This window comes from Homo sapiens, chromosome 5, assembly GCF_000001405.40.
Source record: "Homo sapiens chromosome 5, GRCh38.p14 Primary Assembly".
NCBI classification, from domain to species: domain Eukaryota; kingdom Metazoa; phylum Chordata; class Mammalia; order Primates; family Hominidae; genus Homo; species Homo sapiens.
In genome coordinates this window covers 60,934,931-60,950,635 of record NC_000005.10, presented here as the reverse complement: position 1 = coordinate 60,950,635, position 15,705 = coordinate 60,934,931, and the positions used below count along the sequence as shown (strand labels likewise).

The window sequence follows — 15,705 nt, the reverse complement described above, 5'->3', positions numbered from 1 at the left end:
AAGCAAGCATGTGACAAAATTGACAAAATTCAACATCGATTCATAAGAGAAAGCGCTCAGCAAACGAGGTACAGACAGGGAACTTTGTTAATTTAATAAAAGGTATCTAAAAAATTATAGCTAACACCACACTTAACAATGAAAGAGTAGTGGCCAGGCGTGGTGGCTCATGCCTGTAATCCCAGCACTTTAGGAGGCCAAGGTGGGCAGATCATCTGAGGTCAGGAGTTCGAGACCAGCCTGTCCAACATGGCGAACCCCATCTCTCCTAAAAATAAAAAATTAGCCAGGCATAGTGGCACATGCCTGTAATCCCAGATACTCAGGAGGCTGAGGCAGAAAAATCGCTTGAAACCAGGAGGTGGAGGTTGCAATGAGCCAAGATCACGCTATTGCACTCCAGCCTGGGCAACGAGAGCGAAATTCCACCTTTGGGGAAAAAAAAAATGAAAGATTAAATGTTTTTCTTCTAAGATATGGAACAAGAAAAAGATACCTATGCTCACCACTCTTATTCAACATTATACTGGAGGCTCATCTAGTGCAGCCAGGCAAGAGAAGGAAATAGAATGCAAATAAGTTAGAAAGGATAAAAACAAAACTGTCTCTATCCACAGTTGATATAATTACCTACAGAGAATGTCCAAAGGATCTGCAAAAGGCTTCATTCAAGAACTAGTAGGTGAGTAAAACAGGTTGCAAGATACATGCTCAACATGGAAAAATCTATTGTACTTCAATATAATAGTAACAAAGAATTAGAAATTACGTTTTTTAAAGCATCATTTATAATAACAATACAATATAATATACTTTATAATAAATTTAACAAAACATATCATGATCTCTATGCTGAAAACTACAAATCAGTGATAAATTTTTAAAAATGACCAAGTAAAAGGTCTCTGTGAATTAAGTCAAACTGATTTCGACATTAAATCCCATTCTCTTAAATGCTACGTTATCCAATTTGTCTCTCTTGAGTAGCAAAAATACTTTGTGAGGCTAAGTAGGTACTGTTATTTCCGTTTTACAGAGTAAGCTGGAGCTGCTATGGCCAAGCACTCACACTCTTAGGTATGTACTCATGGAAAATGAAAACTTATGTTCACACGAAACCCATATGTGAATGTTTCTTGCAGCTGTATTCATAATCACCAAAAACTGCAAGTAACTAAACTCAAATGCCCTTTAATGAGTAAATGAACAAACTGGTACATCCATTAACATGGAATACTAATCAGCAGTAAAAAGGAGCAAACTACTGATATACGTAATGAATCTCAAAGGCATTATGCTGAATAGAAGAAGCCAGGTTCAAAAGGTTACATATGGTATAAGTATACATGTGGGACAGTCTCAAATGGAAAAAAGTATAATGGCAGAGAACAAATCAGTGGTTGCTGAGGTTAGGGATGAGGAGAGATTGTAACTACAAAAAGGTAGCATGAGGGAGTTATTCAGGGTGACGGAACTGTTCTGTATCCTGATTTTGGTGTTGGTTACATGAATCACATGTGTTCAAATTTATAGAACTATACACCAATTTTAAAAGTTAATTTTACTGTATTTTAAAAATAGAATCTAAAAAAACCAACTAATAGCAAACAGAAAACTAAAGAAAAAAAATGAGATACCACAACACACCTACTAGAAGAGCTAAAATTAAAAAGACTGACCATACCAAGTGTTGATAAGGATATAGGACAACTGGAAATCTCATACACTCCTGGTGGGAAGGTAAAACGGTACCACCACTTAGGCAGTTTCTTAAGAAGTTAAACATACACCTAACAAGTTGACTCAGCCATTCCATTTCTAAATATTACATCAAGAGAAATAAAAACATAAGTCCATACAAAGACTTACACATGAATGTTCATAATTTATTTGTAATAACCCCTAACTAGAAACAACCCAAATATCTATGAACAGGTGAATGGATAAACAAATTATGGTATATACATACAATGGAATATTACTCAGCATTAAAAAGAAATAAACTACTGATAAACACAAAAACATGGATGAATCTCAAAATAATTATGCTGAGTGAAGAACCTAAAAAACAAAAAAAAAAAAAAGCAGAATATGTGCTGTATGCTTCCACTTAAATAAAATTCTAGCCAGGCGCACTGTCTCACATCTGTAATCCCAGCACTTTGGGAGGCCGAGGCAGGCAGATCACAAAGCCAGGAGTTCAAGACCAGCCTAACCAACATGGTGAAACCCCGTCTCTACTAAAGATACAAAAAGTTAACTGGGCAGGGTGGCACACATCTCAGTTACTTGGGAGGCTGACGCAGGAGAATCACTTGAACCTGGGAGGCAGAGGTTGCAGTAAGCCGAGATAGCGCCACTGCACTCCAGCCTGGGCGACAGGGCGAGACTCCATCTCAAAATAAACAAATAAAAATAACTAAATAAAAATTATAAAAAATACAAACTAATGTATAGTGTCAGAAATCAGATGAGTGCCTATCCATGGAAGCAGAAGCATAAGGCAAGACTAGAAAGGAGCACAACAAATTGTTGTGGATATTGAATATGTTAATTTTCTTGACTGTGTTGATGGTTTCACAGATATATACATATGTCAAAACTTACCAAATTATACATTTTAAGCATGGGCAATTTTTTTTGTCAATTATACTTCAATAAAACTCTCAAAATGCAATTACAATTATGTAAGAAAATATACAAATTAGTGAGAATATGTAAAAATAAAATATTCATGTTATTGTAGAATAGACATGACTGTTAATTTGAAACTTTAATGGTATTGTATCTCTATATAAATGAATGATACAAAAACTGGTATAAATATATTTGTTTGTTGTTTTTTGGGCTTGTTTTTTTTTTTTTTTTTTGAGGTGGAGTCTCACTCTGTCACCCAGGCTGGAGTGCAGTGGTGTGATCTCGGCTCACTGCAACATCCGCCTCCCAGGTTCAAGTGATTTTCCTGCCTTAGCCTCCCGACTAGCTGGGATTACAGGCGCGTGCCACCATGCCCAGCTAATTTTTGTATTTTTAGTAGAGATGGGGTTTCACCATGTTGGCCAGGCTGGTCTGGAACTCCTGATCTCAGGTGATCCACCCACCTCGGCCTCCCAAAGTGGTGGGATTACAGGCATGAGCCACCGGACCCAGCCATAAATGGATTTTTTAATGGGCAAAAGGTTTGAACAATACTTCACCGAAGATCTGTAGATAGTAAATAAGCACATGAAAAGACTGTCAACATCCTCAGGCATTAGGAAAATGAAACTTAAAATCACAATGAGATACCACTATATACCTATCAAAATGGCTAAAATAAAAATAAAAACACACCCAAAAATCAGATAATACTAAGTGCTGGTGAGGGTGTGGAAACAACTAGAATTTTAATGCATTGCTGGCAGGAATACAAAATGGTACAGCCACTTTGAAAAACAGTTTGGTAGTTTCTCATAAAGTTAAACACACATTGATCACACAACTTAGTAATCCCACTACTAGATATTTACCCAAGAGATATGAAAACTTACGTTCACACAAATCCTGTATGGGAATGTTTGTAGAGCTTTTGTCACAATCACAGAAACTGGAAACATCCTAATGTCCTTCAGCTTGTGAACAGATAAACTGGCAAACCCATACAATGGAATACTACTGAGCAATAAAAAGGAACAACTACTGACACATGGATGAATCTCAGCTACATTATGCTATGTGAAGCAAGCCAGACTCAAAAGTCTAAATCCTGTATAATTCCATTTATATGATATTCTAGAAAAGACAAAACTATAGGCCCATAAAACACATCAGTAGTTGCCAAAGGGTGTGGGAATGAACTACTAAGGAGTTGGAGGAAATTCTGATGGTGATGGAATTATTCTATTACTTGAATCCAGTGAGGTTACTCTACTCATTTGTCAAAAACAATAAAACTGTACACCATAAAGGGTGAATGTTACTGTATGTAAATTATATTTCAATTTAAAAAAACTCAGTCTGACAGTTTGCATATTTTTAATTTTACTGACAACTTATGGAAAAGAAACATCTCTCTGCTTGCAACCTGTCAAGAAATACTTAACACCATGCTATGTTCTTTGCAGGCTTTTTTCTTTTTTTGTGAGACATATTCCCTGCCTGACAGAGGAGCTCATTAGGGAAACAAGTCTAAATATTAAAATAAGTTACAGAAAAAGGCCAGGCAAAAATAAATTAATTGAGTGATAAATCACAGAATACATTTTATATGTGTGGGAAATGAATGGCACATAATCTTGGAAAGGTCTTAGTGCTTCTCAACATTGCTGATCTTATATTATCTCTAACTTTCAAGTGAGGATGTTGAGACTTGGAGAGGACAAGTACTTTTTCCGTGATTCCCGAGCTATCAGGTGTCAAAGCTGAGATTCTAACCCACGCCTCTTCGCCCAAAACCTGACATTTTCTGCATGCGGCGATGGAACAACACAGAAGAGGTTACGACGGCGGCTACACAGTGTGATTTCAATGGACAGCAACGCCTCCTTACTCCCCAAACAACCCGCTCAACTACTTGGCACGAATCCTACACAGTAACACCATGATTATTGCCACGTTTCTTAAATTGAGCTCAACGGGGTCTTGGAATGTCAACTCCCGAGAAAGGAATCAGCGAGCCTTGTGGGGATATGGACCTACTTCTGACAAGTCTTGGTAGTAAGGAAGGCGCATGGGGCCAGCGCCGGAGCCAGGGTGCCACCGAAAAGGGTAAACACCAAGAAAGAAGACAGCCGAGGCGCTGAAGATACTCCTCTTCAATTACACCACTCAGCTCTGGGTCACAAGGCGGGGAACAGCGTACGAAAAACCCCTCCCCTGGCCCTTCTAGCCCCTTTGGTGAAAGATTTCCGTGGACTTTTCCCTGCCTCCGTCGCCAGTCCAGGGCTAAAACTGAGGCTCCTCTACAGGCGTGGCTGGGAGGAAAGTGGTGGTGCGCCTTAACAGCGCAAGCAGCCCGGGGCACGCCGGGGGAAGGCGCTGGGTAGTAGGGACCGCGGACGCACGAGGCCGGGCCAAGGCGCCCAGAGCCGGGCCGGGTAGGGCTCCGATGCCAGAGTGAAGGGGTCGACAGGGGAGAACGAACTCGGGAAATTCTCTCCGGTGACACCCTAAGTGTCGCATGATGCGTTAGTTGACTAGGGGCTCTCACTTTTCCCTCCTTTACTGACCTCGCAATCACTGACCACGCAATCGCTGCCCACGCCGCCACCTCACCTCTCCAGTTCTTGTACTGCGGGATGTAGTAGTATTTGTTCCCGAATTGGTCCGTGCCCACGTGCTCCTTCACTTCCCTTGACAGCGATCTCCACAAGGCGCGGAACAAATCCTGAGACCAACCCATGCCGTCCACCCAGTTTCCAGCGCTGCCAGCAGCGGGACCCGCAGTAGGGGTAATGCTCCAGCCGCCGACCCAGCCCACCGAGGCGGAGAAGTCAGGTCGGCCTCCATCCTGGAGCCCTTCTAGTAACGGCGCTCACCATTGGCCGGATATATCACCGACTGACCAATGGGAGACTCTGCTGTTCCAGTCCCGCCCCTGAGCTCTGTCATGGCGACGTCCAGTGCTCCAGCCGGTGTGAGGACACGATATGCTGGGGTTTTTGTCCGCACGCCAAACGGGTTTGGAGGACCCTCTTCGCCTTCGGAGAGCAGAGTCAACACGGAGGTAAAGAAAACCTTACTTTTTGGCTAACAGGCCAGTTAGAATCTGGACCAATGACTGTAAGCTTTGCCCCACACTTTCCCGTCTCATCGCTCTCCTGCCACCAAACTATTATTTGCCCTCTAATGCTGTGTGGCTTGCTAAAATAGGATCCCTTTTATTTACTGGTAACAACTTGCAGGCGGGGGGCGGCGGGGGTGGGGGGGGTTCCCCGGGGGTGGGGGGGGGGTTCCCCCGCGGGCTCAGGTGAAGACACTATAAACCTAAATAAGAATACTTCGTTGTACTGTATTCCTTCTCTCTTAAGTTACTCCAAAGAATAACTGCCCTCCACGGACTCGTTCATTCATTCAGTCTGCATATTTAGTGAATTCCTACAGTGTGCCAGGCAGCCTATTAAAGGCAGAGGACACAGGCCAGGAATTGAACAAAGTTCAGAATGACTAGAGCGGAGAATTGGGGTAGGGACCATTGACAAGAGATGAAGTAGACAGAAACTAGATGAGGAAGAGCCTTGTGTACTTGAGTAGAGGTGTGAAGATGAGAATAAGGTAACAGCTATTGCATTTTGTTTTCTGCTTGGAGAATGGGTTGCAACTGAGAACAAGAGTGGGAGCCAAGTTAGGTAACTGTTGTGATTACACTTGTCCGGGAGAGAGTTGTTGGAAGCCTGGGCCACAGAGTTGCCAAGTAGAATAAAGATAGTGGAGAGATTTGAACAACGTCTGAGAAATAGAATCAACAGGCCATGGAAATTGAGTGGATACGTGAATGACAAAAAGAGAAGAATGAATAATGATTCCCAGATCTATGCCTTGTATAAGAAGTTGAATGTTGGTAATATACTCTGAGAGAGGGTTTTCCAAAGGGAAGAAGCAAGTTGTACTTTTAATTTTGCCCACATTAATTGAGGAACCTGTGAAGATATTTACTTGGAGAACACAGTTGCTTATGAGTTCTGCGTTCTGGAGAAATTTAAATATTAGTTTCCAACATTTTATCCATTACGTTTTCAATGTTGTGAAATATCTCTGAGAGTTCCTTTAATGTGTTTTTTTTGCCAGTGTCACTTCCTCTGACACATCATCAGCCTTTCATCACAATCACTTTTCCTCATTTATGTCTATAAGTTCACCTTCACTGATTTCCTCAGTCTGCATATCTAGAATGTCTCAAATGGCGGCAGTGTCATTGTTGCCACAATCAGCATGTTCCCACAGGCAGCTTTTTTTTCATTTGCTCCATTTATGTTTAATGCAAGTTTCACTTCTAGTATTATCACTCTTCTTTAGTGCACTTTCATTCTTTTGGCCAATTTCCTCTTTTAATCTGTAAAATTCCATGTGGGTTTATCTCAAGGGCACAGAAATATTAATAACAAACCTCCATGCTTTGCAGCCTGTGTGTGAACTGAATAACAGATGCACAGTGACCAATCACCCATAGACTTTGAAAGAAGTAAAATTGCAAATTGGTCAATTTTGATTCATATGTTATTTATGTAATGATTTGTGAACTGAAAAGCTAGTAGCAAACTTTTATGCTATTTCTCACGGTTAATAAACTGTGGTAACTGAAATTCATATCAGACTGTGCCAAGTGAGGATTGCTTATACGTTTAAGACAAATAAAGTATTTAAAAATTAAAAAAATATTTTTTTTTTGAGGCAGGGTCTTGCTCTGTCACCCAGGCTGGAATGCAGTGGTGCAGTTACAGCTCACTGCAGCCTCGACTTTCCAGGCTCAAATGATCCTCCCATCTCATCCTCCTAAGTAGCTGGGACCACAGACATGTGCCCACACACCTAGCTAATTTTTAAATTTTTCGTAGAGATGGGGTCTCCCTATGTTTCCCATTCTGGTCTTGAACTCCTGGGCTGAAGTGATCCTCCTGCCTTTGCCTCCTAAAGTGCCGGGATTATATGTGCGAGCTACCACACAGCCTAAAATTTTTTTAAAAATATTTCCATCATTAAGTGATGTTTTTGCTTAAACAATTATATAGTTCCATTTTATTCATAGGAGATGTCTACTGTTCTTCCTTGTCATCATGTAAGAGCAAAAGGATGAACACTGATATGCAGTGTTCACAGTTTACACCCTCTAAAAAAACATTTTACAACTTTATTGAGGTATAATTGACATGCAATACCCTGCACATTAAATGAGAATATACAATTTGATGAATTTTGACATATATTTACTTTTGAAACCATTACCATAATCAAGAGAACATCCATAACCCTAAAAAATTTTTGACGGTCATTTATAATCCCTGTCTCCCTTCTTTCTCTGCTTTACCCTCTTCCTTCTCTAGAAACTACTAATCTGCTTTAGGTCACTATAGATTAGTTTGCATATCTAGTATTTTATATAAATGGAATCTTTTTTGTCTGGCTTCTTTCACTCAGCATAATTACATTATTTTGAAATTTCTCCATGTTATTGCATGTATCAATTCCTTTTTTTTGCTGTGGAGTATCCCACTGTGCAGATATACCACAGTTTATCTAGTCACTTGTCGATGGACATCTGAGTTGTTTCCAGTTCAGGACTAATACATTTACAGCTGCTCTGAAAATTCATGTATGAGTCATTGTATGAACATATGCTTTTATTTCTCTGAAGTTAATGCATAACAGTGGAGCTACTAGATAAATCCTTTACTTTTTAAGAAACTGACAGTTTTCCAAAAGCATTTTCCAGTCCCACCACTAATAGGTGAGAGTGCTAGCTGCTCCATATTTATGTTTCCCCTTTCCTGCTTTCATTTGACTGTTTGAACATTATTTAGTATTCTATTTTATATACTATGGTTTTGACTATATCTTTTTGTATAATTCTTTAGTGGCTGCTCTAGGAATTATAAAATACTTACTTTTCGTTGTCTACTTCGGATCATTTCATTGTTTTACTGCTTCATTTGGCATATAGAAACCTTATCACCCTTTCCCCTGCACCATATATATATTGTTGTCTTATATTTTATATTTACATACATTATATACTCTATCAGACATTATAATTTTTTCCAACCATCAATCATATTTTAAGGAAAAAAGTAGCCATTATATTTAACCAGATAGTTATTTCTGTTGCTGTCTCTTTATTCCTGATGCCTCAAATTTCCTTCTTATATCTTTTTCTTGTCTCTGAAGAATATAGTTTATCAATTTTTTTAGAGTAGGTCTAATGGTTTCTGAAAAGGAATCTGCAGCCATTCAAATCATTGTTTTCCTATAGGTAATTTATCATTTTTCTCTGGTTGCTTTGAAGACTTCGTCTTTAGTTTTCAGCAGTTTAATTATGATGTGTCTGGTTGCAGATCTCTTTGGATTTATCCTAGTTAGGGTTCATTCTGCTTCTTGAACTTGTAGACTTATATCTTTCCATAAACTTGGGAACTTTCCAGCCATTTTTTCCAATGTTTTTTCAACACTACACTCTTTCTCTTCTCCTTCTAGACCTCCAATGACAAAAATGTTAGTCCTTTTATAATTGTTCCTCTGATCCCTAAGGCTTTGTTCTTTTTCCCTTCGATCTTTTTTCCTCTATATTGTTAGATTGTATAATTTTAATGGATCTATCTTCAAGTTCACAGATTTTTTCCTCTGCCATCTCCAATCTGTTAGTGAATACATTAAGTTAAAATAATTTTATATTGAAAACTAAAATTTCCATTTGGCTTTTATTTATGTCTTCTATTTCTTTGCTGAGACTTTCTGTTTTAACATCTGTTTCAAGTGTGTGCACAATGGCTTACTCAAGCTTTTTTTTTATTTTTAGAGATGAGGCCTCACTGTTTTGCCCAGGCTGGTCCTGAACTCCTAGGCTGAAGCAGTCCCCCTGCCTCAGCTTCACAAGAGTCACTGGGATTACAGGCTCGGGCCACCATGCCAGTGTTGCTCAAGTTCAAGCATTTTACAATGGTTGCCTTGAAGTCTTTATCAGATAATCTCAACACTTGTGTCATCTCAGCTTTGGCTTGTTTTGTTTGTCTTTTCCCATGCAAGTTGAAATTTTCACGGTTCTTTATATGCAGGGAAATTTTGGATTTGCATCCTGGACATTTTGAATACTCTGGGTCTTGTTTTGATCCTATGAAGAATGTTGATATTTTTGTTTTAACATTTAATTAGCAAGATTAGGTTCAGGCTACAAGAACCTACCTACTTATGGACTGTAGTTTTAATGTTAGCTCAGTTTTCAAAGTCTCTTCAGATCTTCCCCAGGTGTATGCCATTCAATGGTCAGACTGTGACCTGAGTGATTAGCTCAATTTTCAAAATCCTTTGTATACGACTCAGGGTTAGATCTATGCATGCCTCACTCAGGGATGAGTTCTGGAGTTTATAAACAACTTTATGGGATCACTTTCCTGAGCTCCTTCTTCTCTGTGATCTCCTGGATGCTTCCCAGTTCTCTGGGACTCCCTGTTTTGGCCATCTAGCCAGAAACTTTAGGGTTCAGTTACCCTGTTCTGCCATACGCTTCCAAGTTTAGGCCCAAGTCTGGGCTCAGAAGTGAGAAGAGAGGCAATAAACAACAGGGATTGTCCCTACCCTCTTGGGATCGGGACTCTGATGAACAGAGAAAACAATTTCCCTTCCTCAGAGTTCTGGCTTCTGCAGGCCACTATGCGTAGCCATAGCCATTTCTGTCATGGGATTGTCTGTGGCTGTTTACTTTTCAGAGTCCTCAAGTAGCTGTCTCTGCATTTTGTTTAGTTTTTATAGTAGTATTACCCAGAACTGAAGTATTGAATAATGAATGAAATTATCAAATTAAATATCACAACTCATAAAACAAGAATTAAAAGACCAGTAATGAAAATGATAAGAGATTAGGAGGGTAGATTCAAAAGATCTAGCAGACAATAATAGTTCCAGAGGGAGAACAAAACAAATAGTAATAAAGAAAAAGAATTGCAAAAGATCTGGATTCATAGACTCAAAGGGCTCACTGAAGTCCAGACAAGATTGATAAAAAAGACATAAAAGTATGTATACCTAGTAAATTTATCTAGCAATGAAGAAAATATTATTAAAAGCTTCTAATGGTAAAGAATTTACCATTCATAAAGGTAAAACATCTCATCAGTAGTTCTAGAGACTAGAAAACACTGGAATGATACCTACTAACAAGAAAGAAGTATTGCAGCCTGTAATCCCAGCACTTTGGGAGGCCAAGGCAGGTGGATCACTTGAGCTCAGGTGTTCGAGACCAGCCTGGGCAACATGGCAAAACCCCATCTCTACTAAAAATCCAAAAATCAGCCGGGCGTGCTCCGGGTGCGGTGGCAGGTGCCTGTAATCCCAGCTACTCACGTGGCTGAGGCACGAGGATCTCTTGGTGGAGGTTGCAGTGAACTGAGACTGTGCCACCCTCCAGCCTGGGTGACAGAGCGAGACTCTGTCTCAAAAAGCAACTAAAAGTTATCTAAAAATTAAAAAAAAGAAGTATTGCAACCGGGGAATCCAAACAAACCAGTCTATCAGAAGAAATATCTTTGTGCTAAGGTCCATAGAAATATTTTACCCAATTTCCCTTCAGGAAAAAAATTAGGAAAGAACGTTAATCAAAAACCAAATGTATTTGAATGAAATCCGAAGGAACATTAAAGATGAAGAGGAGAGGAAACCTATGAACCTTGCAGTATGTGTATGATTAAATGTAAATATATAATAATAAACAAGCTGGAAATATATAATATGGCTGCGAAATTTTTTTTAGACACTTCTCAATTGACAAGATGGAAATGAATAGCAACTTCATTAAACTAGCAAAAGTAAAGGTAAAAGAAGAAACCATGACATTAAGTAAAGAAGGAATAATACCAAGTATATCAGATGTCATAACAAAGGTGAACAGGCTGATTTCTTCCATTAAGAAGCATATATTATCAGATTAATTTTTAAAACAAATAAAGCTAAAAGCTGTTTCTCATAAATACATTAAGTTAAAATATTTTAAAATACTTTACAAAATTCTTGAATAGTTAAAAAGTTAAAGGATAAAGAGAGATCAGACAACTGTAAACAAAATGTGGACATCACTACGAATATTAGGTAAGGTAAGATTTAAGGTTAAAAGCACCAAACATTTTAAAGAAGGACATTATATAAAGCTACATATATATGGAGGAAATGAAGAAACAACAAACTAGATTTAGTAGATACATGACTTTACATCCCTTAAGTGGAGAACGTACATACTTTTTGTAAGTCAGTGGTACATTTACCAAAATTGTTCTTGGCCACTAAGCAAACTTTAACAAATTCAGCCGGGCGCTGTGGCTCACGCCTGTAATCCCAGCACTTTGGGAGGCCGAGACAGGTGGATCACCTGAGGTCAGGAGTTCGAGACCAGCGTGGCCAACATGGTGAAACCCCGTCTCTACTAAAAATACAAAAATTAGCCGGGTGTGGTGGCACACGCCTGTAATCCCAGCTACTCGGGGGGCTGAGGCAGGAGAATCGCTTGAACTCTGGAGACAGAGGTTGCAGTGAGCCGACATAGTGTCACTGCACTCCAGCCTGGCGACAGAGCGAGACTCCGTCTCAAAAAAAAAAAAAAAAAAAAAATTCAAAAAGGTAGCTATCTTACAGGCCACATTCTTTGATCATAAGGTATAGAAACTGGAAATAATTCATGGTAACATCACCACCACCTCATGTTTTGGAAATTCATAATTACATTTCAGAAAACTCCAGAATCAAAGATGAAATGAAAATTGAAGTTACAAGTTGGAAATCAAGGAAAAGGAGAATAACCACTTCTACAACTTAGGGGACCCAGAGAAACTTATATTCAATGAAACTTCGTAACCTAAAAAAAAAAAAAATAAAATATATATATATATATATATATATATATATATATATATGTATGTATGTATGTATGTATGTATACACACACACACACACGCATACATATTAACTCATTGAACAAAAAGAATATGTAGCCATCTTAAGACACTAAAACAGAGGAGAATGAGAGGAAATGGTGTATAGGAGGCAGGACTAACTTGGCAGCTCCCACTCAGATGGACAGAGCAGTGTATGGAGATGCATATCGTGAACTTTTGCTATAAGAACTACCACAGGAACGCTCCAGGAAAGCGGAGAGGATCCACAGACCCTTTGAAGGAAGTGGATTGCCGCTGCAGGCACTGTGGGACAGCCAAGGAACTGTGAGTTGGCTGGCTTTCTCAGCTGGGTGGCTTAAAGCCTGGGGCAAGTCCTCAGCCCTGCTGGAAATAAACTCAGAGCTGTTGTAGGGGCGCAGTGGGAGTGAAACCAGCCCTTTAGGCTGTAGGTTGCATGGGAGCTGGGTGAAGCCTTTGGCTGCCGGCCTTCCCCAACTTCCTTGGTGACCTGTGTGACACAGCAGAGGCAGCCATAATCCCCCTGGGAACATAACTCCATTGGCCTGGGAACCATGCCCCCATCTACCACAGCAGCAGCGGCAAGCCTCACCCAAGGAGATCTGAGCTCAGACATGCCTAACCCTGCTCCCACCTGATGGTTTTTCTCTACCTGCCCTGGTAGCTGAAGACAAAAGACATAATCTCCTGGGAGCTCTATCGGCCTGCCCACCACCTAACCCTAGGGCAAGCATGTATCCTTTCTATACTACTGCAGCTGATGCCCTCTTGAAAGTGCCACCTCCTGGCTGGAGGCCAACCAACACAAAACCAGTACATTTAACAAAAATACAACCAAGGGCCCTCATAGAGGCCACTTCACTCCCCTGCTGCCTCTACGGTTGCCGGTGCTGGTATCCACGGCTGAGAGACCTGAAGACAGATCACATCACAGGACTCTTTGCAGAAACTGCCCTGTACCAACCAGACCCCAGTAGCTCTGCTGGTTGGCTAGATCCAAAAGAGAAATAACAATCACTGCAGTTTGGCTCTCAGGAAGCCCCAACCTTAGGGGAAGGAGGAGAGCACCAAATCAAGGGAGCACCTCGTGGGACAAAAGAATCTGCAGAGCAGCCCTTGAGTCCCAGATCTTCCCTCTGACATAGTCTACCCAAATGAGAAGTAATCAGAAAAACAATTCTGGTAATATGATAAAACAAGGTTGTTTAACACCCCCAAAGGATCACACACCTTAGGGGAAAAGGATTCACATAAATACAAAAAATTGACATAGAATACCTGACATCAAGATGGAAATTAAAAAATTCTTTGAACTGAATGATAATAGTGACACAACCTGTCAAAACCTCTGGGATACAGCAAAAGTGGTGCTAAGATGAAAGTTCATATCATTAAATGCATACCTCAGGAAGTCTGAAACAGCACAGACAGACAATCTAAGGGCATACCTCAAGGAACTGGAGAAACAGCAAACCAAACCCAAACCCAACAGAAGAAAAAAAATAACCAAGATCAGAGCAGAAATAAATGAAATTGAAAGGACAACAACAACAAAACACAAAAGATAAATGCAACAAAAAGCTGGTTCTTTCAAAAGATAAATAAAATTGATAGACCATTAGCTAGATTAACCAACAAAAGAAGAGAGAAGATCTGGTAAATTCAATTAGAAACAAAATGGGAGATATTACAACCCTTACTACAGAAATACAAAAGATCATTCAAGGCTACTATCAACATCTTTATGCACATAAACTAGAAAACTTAGAGGAGATGAATAAATTCCTGGAAATACGCAACCCTCCTAGATTAAACCAGGAAAAAATAGAAACCCTGGACAGACCAGCAACAAGCAATGAGATTGAAATGGTAATAAAAAAGTTACCAAAAAAAGTTTAGGTACAGACTCACAGCTGAATTATATCAGACATTCAAAGAAGAATTTGTATCAATCCTATTGACACTGTTCCAAAAGATAAAGAGGGATTCCTCCCTAAATCCTCCTGTGAAGCCAATATCATGCTAATACCAAAACCAGGAAAGAACAAAGACAACCGCAGACCAACATCCCTGATGAACATAGATGCAAAAACCCCCAACAAAATACTTGCTAACCAAATCCAGCAGCATATAAAAAATATAATCCACCATGATCAAGTGGGTTTCATACCAGGAATGCAGGGATGGTTTAACATATGCAAGTCCATAAAGGTGATACACCACACAAACAGAATTAAAAACAAAAATCAGATGATTATCTCAATAGATGCAGAAAAAGCATCTGACAAAATCCAGCATCCCATTATGATTAAAACCCTCAGCAAAATCAGCATAGAAGTGACATACCTTAAGGTAATAAAAGCCATCTATAGCAAACCCACAGCCAACATTATACTGAAAGGGGAAAAGTTGGGAAGCATTCCCCCTGAGAACTGAAACAAGACAAGGATGCCCACTTTCACCACTTCTATTCAACATAGTGCTGGAAGTCCCAGCCAGAGCAATCAGACAAGAGAAAGAAATCAAGGACACCCAAATCAGTAAAGAGGAAGTAAAACTGTTGCTGTTTACTGATAACATGATTGTATACCTAGAAAACCCTAAAGACTCATCCAAAAAGCTCCTAGAACTGGTAAATGAATTCAGCGAAGTTTCAGGATACAAAATTAACATACACAAGTCAGTAGCTCTGCTATACACCAACAGTGACCAAGCTGAGGATCAAATCAAAAACTCAACCCCTTTTATAATAGCTTCAAAAAAGAAAAATAAAATACTTAGGAATATACCTAGCCAGGGAGGTAAAAGACCTCTACAAGACAAAACACTGCTGAAAGAAATCATGGATGACACAAACAAATGGAAACACAGCTAAATTCTACATTTGGATGGGTAGAATCAATATTGCGAAAATAACCATACTGCCAAAAACAATCTACAAATTCAATGCAACTTCCATCAAATACCACCATCATTCTTCACAGAACTAGGAAAAAAGAGCCTGCATAGCCAAAACAAGACTAAGCAAAAAGAACAAATCTGGAGGCATCACCTTACCCTTCTTCAAACTATACTATAAGGCCATAGTCACCAAAACAGCATGCTAGTGGTAATAAAA

The 15,705-nt window shown here is 39.6% G+C and overlaps 2 protein-coding genes across 5 annotated transcripts in view, besides 1 other annotated feature; one reads left to right on the top strand and one right to left on the bottom strand.

Moving 5' to 3' along the window:
• Nucleotides 1-5,431, bottom strand: part of NDUFAF2 (NADH:ubiquinone oxidoreductase complex assembly factor 2) — a 207,822-nt gene extending 202,391 nt beyond the window's left edge. The window contains exon 1 of the mRNA NM_174889.5: nt 5,254-5,431. Within this exon, the coding sequence (NP_777549.1) occupies nt 5,254-5,380 (127 nt within the window). The 5' untranslated portion in view covers nt 5,381-5,431. The remainder of the gene's footprint in view (nt 1-5,253) is intronic.
• Nucleotides 4,666-4,795: an enhancer, noted in NCBI's record as "active region_22588". NCBI's record gives its function as "activates an Ori minimal core promoter by ATAC-STARR-seq in GM12878 lymphoblastoid cells {active_cell/tissue: GM12878}" and the evidence as "EXISTENCE:reporter gene assay evidence [ECO:0000049][PMID:35858748]".
• Nucleotides 5,566-15,705, top strand: part of ERCC8 (ERCC excision repair 8, CSA ubiquitin ligase complex subunit) — a 78,617-nt gene continuing 68,477 nt past the window's right edge. For all 4 annotated transcript variants that reach the window (NM_001290285.2, NM_000082.4, NM_001007233.3 and 1 more), the window contains exon 1: nt 5,566-5,704. Coding sequence is in view for 2 of the 4 variants with exons in the window: in NM_000082.4 (NP_000073.1) it covers nt 5,628-5,704 (77 nt within the window). In the remaining 2 variants the exon portion in view is untranslated. The remainder of the gene's footprint in view (nt 5,705-15,705) is intronic.